At 38.2% G+C, this 22,810-nt stretch overlaps 1 protein-coding gene across 31 annotated transcripts in view; it reads right to left on the bottom strand.

Moving 5' to 3' along the window:
- Window positions 1–22,810, bottom strand: part of TENM3 (teneurin transmembrane protein 3) — a 1,355,412-nt gene that overhangs the window by 57,275 nt on the left and 1,275,327 nt on the right. For 17 of the 31 annotated variants that reach the window (XM_017008385.2, XM_017008389.2, XM_017008394.2 and 14 more), the window contains 7 exons: window positions 16,569–16,785; window positions 15,431–15,550; window positions 14,611–14,872; window positions 8,675–8,942; window positions 7,206–7,349; window positions 2,331–2,580; window positions 1,587–1,607 (listed from right to left, as the gene is read on the bottom strand). In XM_017008385.2, coding sequence (XP_016863874.1) covers window positions 1,587–1,607; window positions 2,331–2,580; window positions 7,206–7,349; window positions 8,675–8,942; window positions 14,611–14,872; window positions 15,431–15,550; window positions 16,569–16,785 — 1,282 coding nt within the window. The remainder of the gene's footprint in view (window positions 1–1,586; window positions 1,608–2,330; window positions 2,581–7,205; window positions 7,350–8,674; window positions 8,943–14,610; window positions 14,873–15,430; window positions 15,551–16,568; window positions 16,786–22,810) is intronic. The other 14 variants (XM_017008390.2, XM_017008391.2, XM_047415944.1 and 11 more) reach the window with 1 other exon arrangement.

Genomic DNA, 22,810 nt, shown 5'->3' with positions numbered 1-22,810 from the left:
ACCCAGGGAATGAGCCCCTAGAATCTTGGCCACTGGGACACAGAAAAACCGGCTGTGTGGTGCCGTGGAAAGAACATATTTTTAGAGTGGTTTAACTGTCTGCTACCCATTTCTTAGATATGTATTTTGGGGAAGATACATAATCTCCTGGAGCCTCTACTACGTCACTTATAACCCTGAGGGGTTGCTGTGTGGATCTGCAATAACAGATATAAAATATCTGGCACCATGCCCGGCATGGAATAGGCCCGCTTGTTAAAAGGTAGCTGCTTTGATAGTTTTTTCTGTATTGCCTCCAGCATTTTCACATTTACTTGGTGTGCAACCTGTCTGTCTTTCCTCTTTTCTCCACAGCTACCAAGAAAACAAGACCAGCAAGTTTTTGAAATTCTATTGTGGTTTCTAATAGCAGAGCTTTGCACGCTCAGTATCCTGGGGAGATGAAGTGTTGATTTTAGCATGTGACTGAGCTATTAGCTGCAAGTTTAAGATCAATAGGGGATCTCAGGAAAAGATCATGGGGCCAGGTTTGGTCACCCTGATATGCGACAGCTATCCATCTTTCAGTAGAACTTTGGTTTTTGTTTGCTAGTTTGGTTTTTGTTTGCTAATCACTACACAACAGTTTAAATGGGTTATGTTGACTTATTCATCTAAAAGACCTCACATAAAATATTATTAATATTTCTATCTGATATCATTTCATTAGATATTTTAATGACCAAACTAGATCTAGCATGTCTAACCTGTCTAGCTTTTTGCCAGCTTTACTTTAAAACATTGGTTTCCTCCGCCTTTTTTTTTCTATCCCGAGCAAAGTTTTTCAATCAAATGTGTCCATACAAGTCTTTATTGTATCTTCTGCAGCTACGTGTACACAGAAAGCAGACATGAAACACTTCTGAGTCTATATATTTGCTTCAACTATATTCGTCCTTCACTTTGAAGAAAGTCATTTCCTCCATAATAATGGCAATGAAAACATTACTTCTTAAATCTAGTAATTCTCCCAACTTAGGAAAATATAAACTATAGGCAAAGAGGAATTTACGGGAAGCTAATAATTAAGCTTCAGTTTTGGGGCCTCTCACTCTGCCAAGCCACATGTTCACATAATCGTATGTTTTAAAAAATTTGCCAAGGTAAAATATTTCTAGATTCTTTTTCTTAAACAGTCTCCAATAAAACCCAACCTGTCAGGGGTTTTCTTGGAACCAGGCAGGCCTTCTCAAACCTCCTTACTGTGCTTCAGGTTTCATGCTGTTCAACATGGCTTAGATTGTGTCGGTCAGTAACTAATGCTTGGAAATAATTTTGTTATAGAGAGATATTCCTTATACTTTTTTGTAATGAAATTTATTTTATGAACCAACTGAGAAAGATTTCTCAAATTATATCACGTAAATAACTCGCAATATATTGTATAATAATTGTTCAATTAAGCACTTTTAATTCCTTCGATGATGTGTGATACTGAGTTTCCTCTCTCATGATGAAATATTCTTAGAAAACAATTTCAGAGGGTCACATTGAAATGTAAAAAGGATATTTGAAAATATACAATAACCTTAAGGTAAGATGCTTACCTATGTCTAAAATCTTTATTTCTTGGTGGAAGCAGATAAAAAAAGGTAAAAAAAAAAAAAAAAAAAAAAAGAAAGCACAGTTAGAAAAGCCTTCTAAAATATAATGAGTTGAATTCTGAGATTTTAATTATTTGTATGGAAAATTGCCAACTTGGCAGAAATGATACTGGAAATGAATTCTGTAGTCTAGGGCTTACCAAATAACTTACAGAATAGAATGATTTGAAAGTCACACTTAAATGAACAAAGCAAAGACAATATGTTACTTTTACTATTGGCATTATGGCTAATGGATTAACCCAACCTGAAGATCCAATATTCTAGTTAAAAGTTGTAGCCTTAGTCCATTTAATATCAGGTCCTGAAATCACAGGAAAATATTTTATGCCTTAATTTCAACCACTATGAAATAAAAGAGCTACACCTATGTCACAGGGTTATTCTAAAGAAAGCGAAAGAGATTTAAGAATCATAGCTCTAGCCTTTTAGAGCACAGAAAATTCACTGAAATCAGTAAGATATTTGATATATTGGGTGACTTTATGCTCTTTAATACACTTATGGGACAATTTATATGTGTTATGCTTCTCTTAACTTTAAGCAAGAATTTGACTTCTTTCTGGGGGAAATTTTAAACCTTAGGATGGTATTTTTCTATGAATAAATCAGTACATCAGACTCAACCTTTTTTTTAAAGAGGCACGTTTAGCTTTGGTTAAAAGCCCAAATTTAGGAAAGACGTACCTTAGTTCTAAGACACTTGTTACATTTCCAGAAGGGAATATCCGCCGCACATAGTTGAAATCGCCTACGTACAGACTGCCATCGATCCCACAAGCTAGCGCCACTGGGGCCAGTAACTTGTTACCATCAGCTTGACCATTGCAACTGGGGCAGGAAATGCTGCGCCTTCGCCCATTGCCCATGATGCTACTCACGACTGGAGGCTGCTGGGAGATGAACTGGTTTTCCCCGTTTCCCTTGTACAGTATACCTAGAAGAAATAAAGTGCATTGTTTTTCTTATGATGAAAAAGTGTAAAGATGAAAAGCAAACATGTTCATGATTGTTTTAACTATAATTCAATGCCTGTCAGGTCTGGATTAAGACATTCTTATTTGAAGCTCCATTGGAATGAATTGTATTCAACTACCTAGTGTAAAATATTACACGATAAAGTCCATAGGATATATACCAACAGTGCTGTCTACTGTGAACTGAAATCATGTCTGGTGAAAGGAACAAAAGCCTGAGAAGAATTAAAACCCCAATTCTCAACATCAGTGATGATCAGTCATGGCTATACACTGGAATGGCCTGGGGAGTTGCCAAAAAATATTAATGCTTGGTTCTCACCCAGAGAGATGGTGGTTTAATTTGTCTGAGGTGCAGCCTTAGCCCTGAAATTTAGAAAAACTCTCCAGATGATCTTAACGTGCAACCAGGTTTGAGAACAGGCTCTACATAATGTTCTTTAGGGAATAACAAGTTTGCCTCATTGTTAATCAATATTGAAAATATTCAGTCAATAAAAATGTGAACCAGGAATACAAATTTCTTTTGAATTTATAATTTTCTTTAAAGTTAACAAACTTTGTGGAAAACAAAGGTAGAAAATAGACATCAAACTCCAAAGCTGTAACGATAATACAGGCTTATTTTAACTCTACCTATCCTGTCAAAGACTATTCCTGCGTACACTCTCATCCAATAGGAGAATGCATATACATGCGGTTATTCAAAATGTCGAACATAACAAAACTGTTGTAGAAGGCCAATGTATTATTTACAGTGAATTCTGCTTTAAGGCATGGAAGTGCCAATAATTTTATCAAGACAAAATGCCAGTCTGCTCTTTTATGGTCTTCAGTGAAAATCTGAGAAAAGCTTCCAAATGAATATTAAATATTTTCATGGTTAGAAATTAGATTTGAGTTGAGATTGTAATTTTATTGCTTTTGCCATTGCTCTATACAGATCAGTGCCTCCAGTTTGGCGTGATGCACACGGGGTAGTCAGCTGCTATTGTTCCATGCACAGTTTATGACACTTCTCAATGTGTTATCATCTGTATACACCACCTGCTGCTTTGACTTTAGAGCGGCATATATTCTATTTATTGAATGTTCTATGTTCCAAAGAAGTTCTCAGAGATAATGGCCCTACTTCTTAGCAGATACACTGTTGAAAGAATAATCCCACGAAAGTACAATCAGGAAACTTGAGAAAGTGCTTTTTCCCCCCACTTCGGGATAATTTTAAAGTGAAGAAGAAATTAGAATAATTATGTTCTCCTTATAACTCAGCACATTTTAGGTGCATTCTGTGATTACTTCTTTAATGCTTTGCTATTTGGGTGATGTAATAATCATAGCAAATTTACATAAAGAAATCAGGGAAAATAAAACAGGTTTATTCAAATTTAAGAAAAATAAGCTAAATAAGGCTGGATCATAACAAGAGGTGAAATGCATTTTGCCTTGAATATTCAAAGAATGCATTAGTGATATCTAAGATTCTTCTTTCTGTGATTACGTTAGTTGATAATTATGGAGCTATAATTTCCTATAAGAGCCAGTTGTGTAATTTTCATCAGAAGAATCCTACAAGTCAGACTACCGCTCTACAACATCTGATTTATTCAGTCATTACTTTGAACGATTGGCCCTTCCTGCTTCTTCTCTATGATGACAGAACAGAAAGATGAACATGAGAATATTTATTTCCATGTTTCAGGGCGCCCGCACGAATAACTGTCAGCATCTACGTTTCCGTATTCTCTTCTTCCTTCATGTCTTTCTATAGCTCATCCACCTTGTCATGACTACAAATCACTTTGTTTATTCAATTAGACACATGTCACTTTGGAAAGCCACTACTTGTCAAAATGTTCTTGGATAAAATTCTAAACTGCAATCTGTTCACCCTGTGGCTGAGGTTATCTCACATTTAAAAATAACACATATTTTCTTTTATTTATTTATTTTTGAGATGGAGTCTTGCTCTGTCACCCAGGCTGGAGTGCAGTGGCACAATCTTGGCTCACTGCAACCTCCGTCTCCCTGGCTCAAGTGATTCTCCTGCCCCAGCCTCCTGAGTAGCTGGGATTACAGGTGCCCACTACTAAGCCTGGCTAATTTTTGTATTTTTAGTAGACACGGGGTTCCACCATGTTGCCAGGCTGGTCTGGAACTCCTGATCTCAAATGATCTGCCCACCTCAGCCTCCCAAAGTGCTGGGATTACAGGTGTGAGCCACCGTGCTCGGCCTAAATATATTTTATAATTTAGAACATTTTTTTTTGAGGACAGCATTTTGGAAAGTTCGGTTTTTACATCTGCCCTGGTATTTTAATAGAAGTTACCCATATGTTATTCTGGTTTAGAATATGTGTGTATTTATATTATACATATACAGAACATCTACATATTTCTGAATCCTCCTGAATATAATATCGTGTGTTGTATCATACAATGGTGAATTACAGAGGCATGGGCTTTTTCGGAGCTACAGAGATGCCTGTAGTTTTCCTATTGATTCGTAATCTCTTGAGTGAAATCCTGTAGCTAACTGGTTATGAACTTTACCCTATACTCTCATCATAACTAAATGGCATCTAGAGACGTTTCCCCTAGTTTTGTTTTTAGAGGGTTTCTGAAGGAATACAGAAATATGTTCAAACTGTGTGAAATATAATTTTACACAATTTCATCAAGAGCAGCTACTAGCATGTTTGCCATATGGCTTCGCATTTTAAAAGACCATGATTGAACCTTGTGCTACTAATATAACAGAATGAAACTACTACTGCTTCAGACACCACTGATGAGTTAAGAGAGGCTCTGAGAGAACACTGGAGTCCCCTGCTTAGTCAGGAGTCCCACCTTTTCAATGTGTGCTGCATGTGGCACTAGTTATCCGCTCTGTTTAATTCGGGGTGCAAACTGAACTGCATCCTGATGTCCAGGACGTAACTGGAAGGGGTGTAGAGCTTAATATACTGCTATAAAATAGTGAAGCAGGGAAGGGTTTTTCTGCTTTTTTGTTTGTTTTTCCTTACTACTGGTTTTCTCAGACTATTATTTCCTGGAGGGAAGGCACTAGCATTTTCTTCCTTTTTTGTTTTTTGAGACGGAGTCTCACTCTGTCACTCAGGCTGGAGTGCAGTGGCACGATCTTAGCTCACTGGAACCTCTGCCTCCTGGGTTCCAGAGATTCTCCCACCTCAGCCTCCCGAGTTGCTGGGACTACAGGTGCGTATCACCACACATGGCTAATTTTTGTGTATTTTGTAGAGACAGGGTTTTATCATGTTGGCCAGGCTGGTCTCAAACTCCTGACGTCAAGTGATCCACCTGCCTTGGCCTCCTGAAGTGCTGAGATTACAGGCATAAGCCACTGCATCAGGCCCAGCACGAGCATTTTCAAGTAATGGTCTTAAAACTACTTTATTCTGTATATATTTGGAAGGTTAAAATGCACCCTCTCTGACACTCACACACAAAAAAATTGTTTCAAGCAGGAATGAACACTGAAGCAACATTAATATGAAAAACTGACCATTAGCTATAAACATTTAATTGTAGTACATGGTCAAGTCAATATTCTGAACCTTCCAAAAACCTCTGCAAAGTCAAGAGTTAGATTATTTTGCTGAGACTGTGACTTTTTTCTCTGGCTATCAGTAAAAGTAGAGTACTAGTATGATATGGTGTAGGACAGGATGCTAAAGTATAATAGATTAACTTACGGTCCTGCTTTTCCAGCAAAGCACCCTTCAGGTTGTCTGAGATGCAGCTAGCATGTGGGCAAAATGTTGGAAACACAGTCTAGACAACAGAATTGTGTTTCATATAAATAATATTCTTGATGAGATTAAGCTGGTCATATTTTGCAAATACTCCTCTTTTGGTCTGCGGCATTTGAAACATGTTTCTTCAGAGCATATTCACTAGGACATTATCAGGTCTACTCCTAGGAACGCTTTTGATTCTTGCTTTTTTCTCAGATTATTCATTTTTTCCCCTAATATTCACCAAGTCAAGTAACAATATATGTGACCCCATTTGAGTGGCAGAATGCTTTATTTCCCTAATAGTCTGAGAAGAACTGAAAAAAAAAAATCTAGATACTCAGAATAATTACCCGAGAATTAAAATCTACTAAAAATATTTTGGTGAAGTCACATGATTTTTTTTTCTTTATTTTAAAAAACAAATCCCCCCTCCCTCCATTTTTGGTAAACCTTTCTAAAGTACTTTGGCTCACACTCACTGACTCACTGTAGAATGAGACACTCTAGGTGAATCTGTGCTGACGACTCCCACTCAGAGATCTTCCATTACAACACCAAAGTCAGTCTTTCACATTCTAATGGGAAAATCATTTTGGCGATCAATTCATGAACATTTTAAAGTATATTAAGAAAGTATTATACAGTTCCCACTTTAGGCTTTTATAATCTTTAAAAATTCACCTTTATTTTTTTTCTGCCATTTCTAATCCTACAGCATGGATAGCATAAAATGTTGCTACAATCTCATGAGTTGGAAAGTGGGCAACATTAGCTATCTCTGAACAATACATTACAACATCAGTTATCTATGAACAAGAGCTTACCGTTCTGTACATCCAGCACGTGATGTTTATCTAATGTCCAGCCACCCATGTTGGACGCATCCAATTCATAGCCCTGCAGAATGGCAGTCCTCTTTTCCCACAGAGTCAGGTCCAAACACGACTCATACTCATATCCAACTGACACTGGAATCCAAACAAATCACAGCTCATCTTTCCAACGACTGGGGGAAATGCAATTTATTTTCTTACTTGGAAAAAACTGCCTTTTTCACATCTGTGTTCTGAGACTGTATTTCCACTTATTTATGAGCAGTTTATTTTTTAATTTAAGAAGATTTCACCAAAGATTTTTTTTTAAAAAAAGATCTCCAAATATTATTTTCCACTGATTTAATAGAAAATGAGTGTTTTTTTCCCCATACCACCCCTTCATGAGGGGTTCACAGCACAAAATAAAGTCCAGATTGGGCAGCCGGTTAAGTAATTAGATCAGTCAGTCTCAAACAGTGATTAGATAACAACTAAAAATAACGTTTGCCATCTGAATAATTAGAACTCTTTAGTTTTCACTCAAGAGTGTTAAATTATGGAAAATATTTATGATAAGTAAGGTTCAATGGAACAAAAAAGCTAGCCAGATTATGACATTATGCTGACATATTATTATCAGAAATAAACAAACTAGCAGTAATATGAATAAACCACAGATGAAAAGCTTTCCAGAGTTCACAATGAAACAGGGAATTTAAAATTGAGAAAAAATGAAAGGAGAAGTGGCAATTACTGGATTGATTTGAACTAATTCAAATCCAAATTACCTATTAATTTCAGAGTACAATGTTCTATTTTAAGGTAAATACTAATTAAAACAAAAACATATCATTCTTTAGTTTTTTATGTTCTGAGCTTGAGCTTGAAGCTATACTATATACCTATTCTCTTTCTCTCTGTCTGTCTCTCAACATGTCACACTTTGATTGCACTGTTCAGTCATTCAATAAAACAACTGGTTTGATTATCCTTTCATTGAATGAACCGGCCGTTCTAGTGAAAACAGCTGATGTAATTCATGGACACAAATGTCTGCTATCCTGTTAAACATCAGTATGCACTGAAACTACATTAGTGTTAGACACAGAAAACAAAAACAAATAAGGAAATCCAGGGAGGTAAAGTTATAAAGAGAAGAAGAAAATGGAAAAAGAAAGGGACAAAATAAGGAAAGAAACATGGGGGGAGAAAGGATGTGACAAGCTGAAACCTCATTCACAGAATTCCTCTACAACATAATTTCAGCCAGAAAAGGCTGATATTTTCTTCTTCTTGCCACATGGAGTACATTCCTTTTCCCACGGTAGATCTAAACCAGCCAAGGTATAATATCCCTAGGACAACCTTATTCTCTTTATATTCTGTTTATCCACTGACTTCCCTGGGTTACAATTAATTTATGATAGTTCTGGCTTTGAGAAAAACTTCACTGCAGCAAAGATTTATATGGAACTTACCAACAGCTTCAGATAGACCATAGACTTTCTGATTATATGCATCTGTTTTATCCCATATGAAAGTATAGGCCAAGTTTGGTGAGGCAGGAAACCACTTTTGGAAGAGTCTTCCTACTACAGCTACCATAAGATGAACCTTCATTAAATTAAATGGAATAATAGACTGGGTCATGGTGATCTTGAGAACTGACTTATACCCTGCAGCTCTGGAACTCAAGTAGGAGAGTTTCAAATCTGTTCCTGGAATTGTAGTTTCCTCGTGGAGTACCTAAGTTTGAATAAAGCAGAAGTTTCAAACTGTGATCACGTATGACGATTAGATAAAATATATTTATGTAGCACATATTCACTATATTTGTGAATAGTGACTCTCTGTGTCTTAGTTTACTTACTCACAAAGACAATGTGCTTATTTTAGCTGCTTTAGAGCAACTAAAATAAAACACAAAAGAATCACTATTCACAAATATGCATTTGAGCTGTTATCTTATTCAATAATTAAAAATAACTCTGCTGCCAGCCCAAATGTCTCTTCCTAAAAGCCTCCTGTCATTTATTCTGAGTTAATCATACCTCGGGTGCTACTCTTCATACGGGAAACACTGTGACTGCTCCATCAGGCTGACATGCACTGACTTGTTAGTGCAGTAGTCACAGTGGATTCTCACTAACCCATCTTTCACCCCATCACCCTGGAGAATTAGAGCAGACATTTGTAAGATGGTTAGCTCAGAACAGGGATGCAGTCTAGGCCAAAGATCTGGCCTGTGCCAGCTGGCTCATTTAGGGACTAAACCAGTACCTATAGCCTCATCAGCTGGCTGGTCACAGCCTATAAAGACAGTAAGGATAACAAAAAACACCCAATCGTTTGGGTTAGATTGTAGCAGATTCCATATCCATGTTGAGAGGTAATGTAATAATAGCACATTGTCATAATTAAAGATTGAGCTCCAACTTACCATGGATTTTTGATATGATGGTAAATTAGCTAATATTTTAAAGCTCCATACAATTTATCCTAGAGAGCAACTAATATGTTATTAAATGCACATAGAACATATCAATTCACACTTTTTTATTTGAAACTGGACTGTAAAAATGAATATAATTATGTGCATAAGAATTATCTCCTTTACAAATTAAAAAAAATTATACTCTTAACCCCATAGATTACCAGTCAGTGTATGCTGACAATATTTATATTAAGAAATGCAAAATACATTATGCCAAAACATTACTTATTTTGAAAAATGTATTTTAGGCAGCATACACAATTTTTCTAAAGAGTTCAGATTCTCTTTACCAATGCTCCTGTTAGTTTGGTGAATAAGAACAGCTCTTCATAGGCTTTCTACATAGGCTGTAAGTGCAAGGCTATCTGTGTTCAAGAACGTGCACCAGGAACTCACTACTTTCTCCACGAAGAATTAAACAGTACTCTCAAAGGCTTCCTTATATTGCCCTATCAAGATTCACTATTCAGACAGAAAGGGCTGCCTTTTCATGTTGGAAAGATCTTAGAATAGTGATTCAGTGTTCAGCAATGTTTCCCCTTTCCCCACCACCTCCACATAGAACAGTTAAAGATGATGTCTATCTGCCACCTCCAAACTTTAATAACTTCAGTAAAACCCTCCAAGACCCCTTGTACTGAGGGTGGAGCTGTCAGCTTCAATATAAACAATCACACAGTTGGAAGCAGCATGAATGAATGGACGAAGGAAGCTTCCATTCTGGCCTGTCAGTCAGTGTTGGCATGAAGAGGGACGCGATGTGGTACAGTACAGTACAGTAAGAGGCATTTCTAATGTAGATACACGAATTTATTACCATTGGAGTTTTCCTTCAAACATGCTGACTGAATTCAGCCACAAAACGGTCTTAAGCAAAATAGTTTACAAACATATAGAAACTTTTTAGACCCAGGGAAACCATTAAATTTAAGATTGAGGGTACTTTTGTAAGACTGTAGGTTGTTAGGGTGAATGGTTTAAAGATAACTCATTGTTCTCCCATAATCAGTGAAATATCAAGGAGTTAATTTGAAAAATAGATTCTGTGACTCCAGAATGACCCTGATAACATGTGATTTAACCCTAAAGCCCATCATTTGCTTCCTCTTATTTTCAAAATAATTTCCGATACATTTGACAGGTTTTCCATGAGTAAGGGACTCTCTTACGAATATTATATGTATTTCCTGTGACCTTCCAGAAGCTGCCTCTCTATTTCAAAATATCATGTGTTGTACTTGATTTTAATATCTGTAATTTTGTTCATTAAAGCATGTGTTTCTCTGATGTAATTTAACTTGACCATGTTATTTTGCATTAGTAGGAAAGGTAAATCCAGCCAAAGTGGGAAAATAAACCATCAGGCCTACTCTTGCCAGCTGCGTGAGCTTTAAATCCTATTCCTGATCCCGTTAAACATTCGGTTAGGAACCATGTCCTGCCAATTCTATCTTCCAATCCCTGTCTAATGTGTTCCCTCTTCTTCATTTCCACTACCATTGTGATTGCGAGGCCCTCTCCATCTGAGCCCTGGATACGCATGGATATACACTTCACAAGAACAGCCTGTTCACTCATTTCTCTTTTCTATCAATATCTTCTGCGCTTCTTTCAAGTGCGTTTTGCCACTTGAGTTAACTTTAGAGAAATGCTGAAAAAACTCCACTGGGGTCTTGGTTCCGCATCACCTAAGGAATTCAAGGTCTCCACTAGATTGCTTCTCAGGGCCATTCATCAGCTGGCCCTGGGGTCATCTTCTGCCTCCTTCCCCATTGTCCCCTCTACAACATGACTTGTTTTTGCCACTCCACTGTTGCTTACACATCTTCAATCTGAAACGTGCTTTCCTCCCTCTCCAGCCTAATCCTTGTTTCAGCCCAAACTCCTCAGTGATTCCTTCTTTGGCTTACTTAGGAATTGACCTCTCCTTTGAACTTGTATCATTCTTCATTAAAATCTTTATCGCATTTAGAATGGCAGGATGCACGTCTTCTTCTTTTTATCTTAGTAAAGTACCTTGTACATAGTAGGCTCTCAGTAAATTTTTATGAAATATTTGCCTACCGCATGAATGAATGAATGAACGAATGGAGAAAAGACTCCATGTATTCATGGAATTGTTGACTATCTGAAACCCATTTTAATGTCCTAGTTTGCTAGAAATTTGGCACCTACAGACAGATACTGACTCTAGGTAAAGTCTATTTTAGGACTGACTACGAAGTTTAGAGTTCCTGCAAGATGGGCCTGGGGAGGAAGTATTAAATTGATTGAGGTTACAATGAACTTCTTAAAAGTTTCAGCTCAAAGTTGGCTTGACCATTTTACAATGAATCCCTGAGGTGTTGCTATTGCAACATCTTTGCCTGTCAGCCTTTTTGACTTTTTGTTATCCTAGACCTTTCTGGCTCACCTCTTGTAGTCTCTATCTGTGCTCCCTCCCTAGGTTTATGCTTTATATTTATATGCGAATGACTCCCAAATTTACCTCTTTAGTTTCAACCTCTTCCCTGGACTCCACTCTTCCATGTCTGCTTCTACCTCCAAAGACTTTTGTCCAAGCCACCATAATTTCTCCTGTGGACAACTGAGGTTGCCTCCTAACTGGCCTCCTTGTTTCCACCCTTGCCCAATATAGGATATTCTCAGCATAGAAATTCCTTAAAGGAGGAAATCAGTGACTGTCATTGCTCTGCTTAAACACCTTCAATGGCTTCCAATTCTCAAAGAGTTATCTTTGCCATGGTCTCCAATGGCTTGTGATTTATTCACTGCCGCCTTCACTCCAGCTGTGCCTGCTGTCCTTTTTGCCACTCCTTGAACAAGCCAAGAATCCCCTTCTATTTTCAGGGCTTATTCTTTTACTTTCTTAAAGTTTGTGCTGAAATGTCACCTTATTGAAGAGATTTTCTCAAACTATACTATGTAAGATCATACCTCTATCCACTGTCCCCTGCTTTATTATTTTTTGATAAGTCTCATCGCAACCTGACATATTTCTTGTTGACTGCCTCTCTCCACTCATGAGTTGGGAAGCTCAGTTAGAGCAGGTACTTCATCTGAGTGGTTTACTGCTTTGTTCTCACATAACAGCGCCTGCTACAGAACGGGTTTTCAAGAAATATCGGGAGAATGAATATGACAAAGCTGCTATGTGCTAGTGTACTTTAATGACCACAGATTTTTCCTTACCTCTTTACGAATACAGTCTATTATGATTATATATATATTTTTGAGACAGGGTCTCACTCCCAGCACCCAGGCTGGAGTGCAGTGGCACTCATGGCTCATGCAGCCTTGACCTCTCTGGGCTGAAGTGATCCTCCCACCTCTGCATCCTGAGTAGCTAGGACTACAGGTGCATGCCACCACGCCTGGCTAATTTTTTGTATATTTTGTAGAGACAGGGTTTTGTCATGTTGCTCAGGTTGGTCTCAAATTCCTGGGCTCGATCCATCCTCCTGCCTTGGCCTCCCAAAGTGCTGGAATTATAGTAGTGAGCCACGCCGCCTGGCAAAATCCATTATTATTACACCTAACATCCTACTTTTAAGATCTGAAAGTTATTTCTAACTGGAAACATGTGGGACGGAACACAATCCTCAGCTATTTCAGTAGATGAAACGAATGGGGAATGCATGGCTATTTCTTAAAAAGTTATATTAATGAATATTTTCTGTCAAAACTACCTTTTCCAAAACACTTTTTACTGACAACAATAATTAAACAGTAAGTTATTGAGGCTAATAGCCATGTGCAATAGTGAGTGGTGTCAGTAGCACTTGGTACAATGTCAGTCAAGCTGTCAGGTACATTTAGGCACTAAAGTTTTTTTTCAATAAATAAATAAATGAACAAAGACATTATTAGTGATTGAGTTTAAGCTACAGTTTCATTTGACTATTATTAATAAATATATAAGGTATATCCTGAAGAAAAAGTATTTTGTTTGAGTAGATCTTTAAGAAATAACTAGAAAGGCCGGGTGCGGTGGCTCACACCTGTAATCCCAGCACTTTGGGAGGTCAAGGTGGGCGGATCACGAGGTCAGGAGATGGAGACCATCCTGGCCAACATGATGAAACCCTGCCTCTACTAAAAATACAAAAAATTAGCTTGGCTTGGTGGCAGTCGCCTGTAGTCTCAGCTACTCAGGAGTCTGAGGCGGGAGAATGGCGTGAACCCGGGAGGTGGAGCTTGCAGTGAGCCGAGATCGTGCCACTGCACTCCAGCCTGGGCGACAGAGCGAGACTCCGTCTCAAAAAAAAAAAAAGAAAAAAGAAATAACTAGATATCCTACTATAACAATGTCTACTGTAGGACACACACACACACACACACACACACACACACACACACACACACCCCAACACCCACTATATATTCATTCTATAGAATTATTTAAAGATAGCACTGGAATTCTATAATCCGTGGTTTTTTTTGGTTTTGTTTTTGTCTTTTTTTGAGACAGGGTCTTATAGAATTATTTAAAGATAGCACTGGAATTCTATAATCCGTGGGTTTTTTTGGTTTTGTTTTTGTCTTTTTTTGAGACAGGGTCTCACTGTGTCACCCAGGCTGGAGTGCAGTAGTGTGTGATCTCGGCTCACTGCAACCTCTGCCTCCTGGGTTCAAGCGATTCTCCTGCCTCAGCCTCCCAAGTAGCTGGGACTACAGGTGCCCATCACCATGCCCGGCTAATTTTTTTTTGTATTTTTAGTACAGATGGGGTTTCACTATGTTGGCCAGGCTGGTCTTGAACTCCTGACCTCATGATCTGCCCACCTCGGCCTCCCAAAGCGCTGGGATTACAGGAGTGAGCCACCGTGCCCGGACTCTATAACCTATTTTTAAGATTCTCTGGCAAAACATGATCTGAAGATCTTGTATTTACAAGTACTGCCTGTGAGAATATTTTACCTGTGTTTCGGGAATGATGGGACTGTCTTCAGGAGAAGATCTGAAAAAGGTGGATAAAGGTGATGACACAATGATGGGATTTGGCCTCACGAATCCACTCAGATCACAGCTGGGAATGTCATTCTCTTCTTTCTTCATGACTAGGGTATCCATCACATAAAAGACATTCCATGGAATCCACACAGTATGATACTGAGTGAGGAATGGGGATCGTTCAAATACCAAAGTTAGAGAGGCCCCACCATTTGCCACCAAGTCAAACCTAAGAAAGAACAAGGTATGCTTAGTGAATTGTCTGGATCCCACATAACTACCAATACACACCTCCTTAAGTTAATATGCTTTATAAAGAAAATCAACTTTTTCTCCCAACTTTTATATGAAATATTTTCAGATCTATGGGAATATTCCAAGAGTTATACAATAAATACTCTTGTGTCCTATGTGTATTCACCAAGTTCACCAATTTTTTTTTCCAAATTTGCTTTCCATTGACTCTTTTCTCGGAACCATCTGAGCTCAAGTTACAGACATTATAAAATATTACCCCTAAAGATTTCAACATACATCTGCTGAGACAAAGAGCATTCTCCTACAAAACTACAGTATTACCATGCCTTAGAAAATAAAATCAACTTTTGAAGAAGTATGTGAGTATATGACTTTAAATCTCTGCCATATGTACTGTCACAAGTTTGTAGAGTCTAAAAAGTTGCTGCATTTCCATATTTAAAAGGACAGTCAAACATGACAGTGGTACAGGAAGGTCTAGTTTTTATATTTCAAATCCTTCAGAGATAGTGTGATGGGACTAACTCACATTCCGTCCTGGCGGGTAATAGTATATCCATATTCTGGGTAATGGAAAAACGAGACATTTACTCCAATAAGTGGAGTTCCATCAGCAGTCAGTACTTGGCCTCTGATGACAGATGCAAGGCTGTTGGAAAAGCAGAAGAATGAGAATGAACATCTGTCTTTTCAGGCCAACATTATCATGATTTATAGATAATTCAACCTAAGGATAAAATAACACTATGCTATGCAATCCATCGTTATTCACAAAAATCAGACCTGAAATACTCCCAAGACAATGTCCCTTTTAATTCAGTGTAACGCATATTCTCTAAAGGGCTTGTGTTTATCCTGGGTTTTAATTTGTGGCAATCTGTTTTTTGGAGCGTTATCAAGACTAATAATTTAGAGATGAATTTTTAAAATGATAAACTCTGTGCTTTTTTCATAAGTCATATATATGGTGCTCACATGAAGAAAAGTAGACTTTCCAATTAATTCTGAGGCAATCAGTAAATCTTCAGGGACCAAGAAGTATAAGATTTAAGGGGGCGATAAGGAACATTTGTACAGCAACTTTGAATCAACTGCTGGCTATAACTGCATTAATGCTGTTAAATTACTGCAGACCCAGGAGTTCTGGTGTAAATCATCTTCTTTTGCTCAGTGAGACACAAGACACCTGCTTTCACTTACTGCTTTACTTTCAGGTCATTACTGCTCTGCAAAGCACCAGTCAAACAGCTTATGCAATCTTACTGCCATGCCGTCAGCAGTTCCATTACATTCATTCATAATTTATATTATTTAGTGAGCTCAGCTAAAAAAAAAAAAGTGCACTTCTGTTCTGCCTTTTGGGGTCTTTTCACTGCTTCTTTTGAAACATTTCCAACTGTGCTAACAAAATCAACTAGTTAAATGAAGATTTATTGACTCTTTAATATAATGTCCTGTTATGTCTCAGGTACTGAAATTGACAAAGTATGTGAACTGTGTCAAAAATGCTTGAAATACAAAGTTTGGTGAAGAATCTGCAGAAAGAGGAAAAACTGTATTTAAAAAACAGCACTTTCCTCAGGTTCACAGTCATGAGTATTTCACATAAGTGTATGTAACTGTTGATAACATCATTACAAATCTACATATGGAAAAGAAGCATTAACCTCTTATTGAAAGGACTTTCTCCAGGTATAACATGGGTGCTATCAGATCCTATAAGGAAACTGATTCGATCATAAAAGGATTTGGCAGCTTGCTGAGAAGGCGATTGAAGGCTTTGGCTAATGATGTCCTGAGGATCCGGCAGTCCCCGACAATAGGGCTGATTCTGGCAGGAACTCTGTAGGCAGCAATCGGGATCCATGCAGTCAATGAGTCCATCTGTAGAGAGAAATGTTCCCCAGTAAGAGAATTTTCCTTTTGATGCCATAATGTAGAATCAGTTTTGTTTCTTGACTGTTTTTTTTTTTTTCACATCAAGTGATTTCTCCCGACTATCTGATAGTAATTTCTATGAGGCATACTTTTTGAAACCAGAAGAAATAGAAATACAATAGTCACATGCCACATAATGACAGACCATATATAAAAGAGTGGTCCCATAGATAATAATGCTGTATTTTTACGGTACCTTTTCTAGGTTTAGATACACAAATACCACTGTGTTACAACTGCCTCAGTATTCAGTAGAGTAACATGCTGTACAGATGGGTAGCCTAGGAGTGCAGTAGGCTGTGCCATCTAGATTTGCGTAAGTACATGCCATGATGCTCTACCATGATGAAATTGCCTAACAGCAACTATCTCAGAACATATCCCCATCAGTATGTGACACATAAATCTACTTGCATCTGCCTTCATAGAGAGTAAATATTTGGATTAGAGATGGCTGAAAAGAATCATATAATGTTTGTTCTGAGTAAGAAATAAAAAAATTAGTGATTAGAACAATCTATTGGTAGGAGTATGAAGGAATATGGATTAGTTGTAAGTAAAGCTACTCAAATATTCTATATTTTAGAGAAAATGCACTAGGAGTTAGCACAGTAAGTGTGTATGATAAATAGGAATCTATGTAGGACGAAGCTCTAAAATTTGGGAGAGGGTCAGAAAGTGAAAGTTTATGAAGTGTAGCAAACACAAATCAATATAAAATGGATGAGATGAGCCAACCACCTTTCAATAAAATAGCTCTTCTGGCCGGTGCAGTGGCTCATGCTTGTAATCCCAGCACTCTGGGAGGCTGAGGTGGGCATATCACCTGAGGTCAGGAGTTCGAGACCAGCCTGGCCAACATGGTGAAACCCCATCTCTAAAATTAGCCAGGCGGGGTGACAGGTGCCTGTTGTCCCAGCTACTCAGGAGGCTGAGGCAGGAGAATCACTTGAACCTGGGAGGCAGAGGTTGTAGTGAGCTGAGATCGTACCACTGCACTCCAGCCTGGGCAACAGAGCAAAACTGTCTCAAAAAAAAAAAAAAAAGTTCTTCTAAGGAAGGTTAAGTGTGTTCCAGATAAAATCAGGCATTTCCCAAATTTTAAACAAGAGCCTGGACTCCTAGAATACACTCACTAAAATGGAGGTATTAATTAAAATGTGGTAAATGTAAATCAGCCATAATATTAGAAATAATAAGAAATCCATCATGAAAAATTGACCTATAGTATTGATGACATAAAAGGAATAATGGATGAGAAGAATTTGCCAGTGCTTTCTCCAGGAGCATCAGAAGGAAACTACACTCAATGGCCCATGCAAGTATCCTGTTTAAAAGCTATAACCATCCATTAGTGGTTGAGTGTTTCAGGTTATGATCATTTGATAACATTATCCTTTAAGGTCAGGCTTTACTGACCAGTTGAAAAACATGAATTTTTCTTTCTTTTTTTTTGAGACTGAGTCTTCCTCTGTCACCCAGGTTGGAGTGCAGTGGCACGATCTCAGCTCACTGCAACCTCCGCCTAACTGGTTCAAGTGATTCTCCTGCCTCAGCCTCCTGAGAAGCTGGGACTAAAGGCACCTGCCACCATGCCTGGCTAATTTTTGTATTTTTAGTAGAGACGGGGTCTCACCATGTTGACCAGGCTCATCTCGAACTCCAGACCTCAAGTGATCCACCCGCCTAGGCCTCTCAAAGTGCTGGGATTATAGGTGTGAGCCACTCAGCCCAGCTGAAAACATGAATTTTTATCTCCTTGGTAATTACATTTATTGGTATAGATTAATAAAAATATCAGTTTCTGAAGACTTTAATCACTCTTAGGAGAACTGACAAAATAGTTTTAAAATCTTCCAACTTAAGTATCAAGTCTGGGTCTGACCACTGTGATGGCAAGCTCAGCTGAAAATATCTAGATGACCATTATGTTTTATTTATACAATTAAAATAAAGTCTTTTTTTAAAAAAATACTATACTAGCCATTGATTTAAGTTAGGCTATTCTTATTAATAGAATGTTAGCTTGCTCCTTCATTATCTGACAGCAAACTGAGATAAAAGAAAACAGACAAAGTTGAATTAAATTGCCCAGTCTAAAAGGCAGGTCAGCAACAACACGGTAAGGTAAGAAACAAGACGTGAGAAGGCCTGGCTCAGCAGGTCATTTTGGCCATCTGAAGAATAAAAGTAGCGGACGCTGTGCTTCCCCAGACCCTTTCCCTTTCTTTGGGCAACAGATGAAACTTTTCGTTTGCGTATCCGGCCTTCCCCACCTCTCAGGCCATGTGCATAACCTTCCCTTCCTGTTTGGTTCAGAAATGTACAGGTGACCTAACATGTCTAACAAGAGCGAATTTCACAAACAATCTAAAAAGAGATTCTTACCCCTCCACCAGGCTTGTTCTGTGAGGCTGTGTGACTGGGATTGCTGCAGCCACCTTGCTGCCGGTATAGAAGCTGCTGGGAATGGAGCCATCCCCAGGCAAGCGGAGCAAGGGCTGGAGCAAAAACTAACAGGTCAGACACAGACATAAGCTGCGCTTGACCTCCTGGGCTTTTCAGTTATAGAAACGTATTCCCTTTTTCCTTAAGTCTGTTTGAATTCAATTTTCTGTCACCTGAAATTGACAGAGACCTAGCTTATCCAGAGACAGTAACTAAAAATCTCTTCACTATTTCCTTTGTAGTTGGGGGAGGGGGGAAAGGCTTAATAAGTGAATATCTGAATTAAGTTTATAAAGTTGGACTCTTTTCACACTAATATTTTAAGTTTTTTGTTACCATAATTTCCATACACATGAAAATGTGTGGGTCAGGATTTCTGATAAGCAGATCTGATTACACACGGTTTCCTTATGATAGCATGTATTTTCATGTCTGTTATATTTCTAAGATAATGAGTTGTTAACCATTTGAAACTGCATGTTTATTTCTCTGGAAAAAAGCTAAAATCATGTTTTAAGAAAATTAAGCCGGGCGCGGTAGCTCACACCTGTAATCCCAGCACTTTGGGAGGCCGAGGCGGGTGGATCACCTGAGGTAAGGAGTTCGAGACCAGCCTGGCCAACATGGTGAAACCCCGTCTCTACTAAAAATACAAAAAAATTAGAGGGGCGTGGTGGTGGGTGCCTGTAATCTCAGCTACTTGGGAGGCTGAGGCAGGAGAATTGCTTGAACCCAGGAGGTGGAGGTCGCAGTGAGCCGAGATCGCGCCACTGCACTCCAGCCTGGGTGACAGAGCAAGACTCCGTCTCAAAGAAAAAAAAAAAAAGAAAAAAAAGAAAAGAAAATCAAATGAAACTGAGTTTGGAAATTTCATATAAATTTATCAAAATATTACTTTCCTAGGCAAAAGGGCATGAAGATGAAAAATGTATAAATATTTCTCAATATTTCTAGTGGAAGAAAGACTATACTATGCTATTGGCTTATTTTTCATGAGGATATATAATAATAATGTAAAACATTTTTTCTCCCTCTCTCTCAAAGAAATAGAAGCATAGTTGTTAAGATTCAGAATTCTGAAGTAGTAGACTGTTGACCTACTGCTCCAATATCATTTCTGGCTTCAAAAAAACAATTAGCCAGGCACAGTGGCTGATGCCTGTAATCCCAGAACTTTGGGAGGATCACTTAAGCCCAGTAATTCAAGACAGGCCTGGGTAACACAGCGAGACCCTATCTCTACAAAAAGTTAGAAAACTTAGCCAGGTATGGTGGTGTGCACCTGAAGTCCCAGCTACTTGGGAGGCACTTGAGCCCAGGAGTTCGAGGGTGCAGTGAGAGATGATCCCACCACTGTGCTCTAGCCTGGGCGACAGGGAGAGGCCCTGTTTCAAAAAAAAAAAACCCAAAACAACAAACAAACCAAAAAATTTTTTAAAACCTCAACCTTTCCATCCCAATTCATAGTTATATGTTTGATGTTTATGACGAATCTTTCAAATGTGTTTTATGATATAGTACCTTTAGTTCTTACTTGATGGATTTCGAATGGGTACATATGCTTGGGAGAATAACAACACAAATATCTGATATTCTTGCAGGTTTTCCCTTGCAGTCATTCTTCAACAAAAGTAGAAATGATTCAATAGGAAAAGTATTTCCAAATATTATATTTTTCTCCATTAATCTGGTAAGTTAAGGGTTAAGTGCTCCTTACCCTCTTCTCCCCCGCCATAATGCTGCCAGTGTCTTCCCTTAGGCAATAGATGGTACAGTTGCCAAAGAGGAATGCTCAAATTTAGTCATTCATCTTTGTTAGTTTATAAAAAGCAAATGTACATCTGGCATGTAGTCTGCAGGTCATAAAACTGCATGAGATTGACACCTTCTGAACTAATCAGTTGGAAATGCATTTTTACAAGCCTCTCTGCTAACATCAATCAGAGAAAGATCTCATTTTCAACAGCCAAGGTGCAGGGACACACTGTTTGTTATTCTTCTGCAGAGTTTATCAGTAACTTGCCCAAGCAAGTGACGGATGGTTATGAATCTGGCTTCCTATAACTTGAGAAAACATTTTTCATTTTTTGGTCTGTATTTATACGGCAGCTAAGGTTATGTAGTATTAACTAAGTTGATTACCCACTTGCCCAAATGTATAGTGTAGTAAAATTGTCTTTGTGGAATAGCTTCTCAAAAATCATCGAGATTCCATTTTAGTTTCAGGAATATTAGGTTGGCTTAAATTTATCTTGGTATAGAAGCCATGTCTAATAGCATTAATCATAAAAATCTACATAAATCAGAAATGCTCAAAACCCGCTGAATAATAACTGCAGTGATCAGTTAAGAGCCTGTCTTTCTTCTGTTTAGGCTTTGCAGTCTACGTGGTACTCTGATGTAAAGTAGATCATACTGTTTATGCTTCCCTCCGCTCAGTCTGTAATATTATTGCTCTCGTTAGCTTTTCTGTCCATTATTTTTAAACATGCTCTTATCTTTCTTTGGGCATTTTCACTGGTCTTTTACAGTGGCTGGCGAAATTATTTTGTAGAACCAAAGAGTAAATACGTTCAGGTTTGTGGGCCATATAGTCTCTATGGCGACTGTTCAACTCTGCCTTCAATATGTCAATGAATGGGCATGAATGTGTTCCAATAAAACTATTAAGAAAATCAGGCTTTGGCTCAGAGGCCACTGTTTGCCAATCCCTGGTCCTGCTTCAAGGTCTCTATCCTGTCATATTTCCTATTATACTTTACACATCACTCTTGATTCTTTTTTTTCTGGCAAATTTAAACAATACACATTTTGTTGGATTATTAAAACTCTTGACTACAGGTCTTTTCCTGGGTTACCTTCTATGCTGGCTTTATGCTGCTTGTCAATACTCTCACTTTCTTCTTTCAAAGAGCTATGGATATTGTTATTTGTTTTTCAAAACCTTGGTTTACAGACTGGACAAAAAGTCATGAATTTTCTTTTTTACTCAAAAGATAATTGATACCCACTGTCCTTCCCCACAGTATTTGGTACTTCGCCCCCACCCCTCAACTTCCAAGTTTCAAGTCCGAATTAGAAATTCCCATGTAATATTTTATTTGTGGAATTCAGAATTTTAAAAGTATACAGGTGTAACTTTTGTTATTCTTTTTAGTCACATTCTGTAATATGCATGAAACAAACTGAAATATGCATTCATTTCTGGATTGGGATCATGCTAGGTTTCCACACATTCTTGGTTGTCTACATCAGTGCTCTCCTGGTGGCTTTGGACCTCATGTTCACATCATTTCAATGCTAATGACTCCAGGCTGGTCATTCTCCTGAACTACAAAGCCACCAATTGCCTTCTAGATATCTGGCTTGGATATTGCACAGGCATCTAAAACTTAACATGTGTAATATGATTTAACATGTCTGTATATGATCTTCTCCTCCAAATACGCTGCTGCTCAATTTCCTATTTCAATGAATGGTTCCACCATCCACCCCGCTCAGCTTCTCATAGAAACCTGAACGT

The sequence above is a fragment of the Homo sapiens genome, chromosome 4 (assembly GCF_000001405.40).
Source record: "Homo sapiens chromosome 4, GRCh38.p14 Primary Assembly".
NCBI lineage: Eukaryota > Metazoa > Chordata > Mammalia > Primates > Hominidae > Homo > Homo sapiens.
The sequence above is the reverse complement of the archived record's forward strand: the minus strand, read 5'-3'. Positions and strand labels throughout refer to the sequence as shown.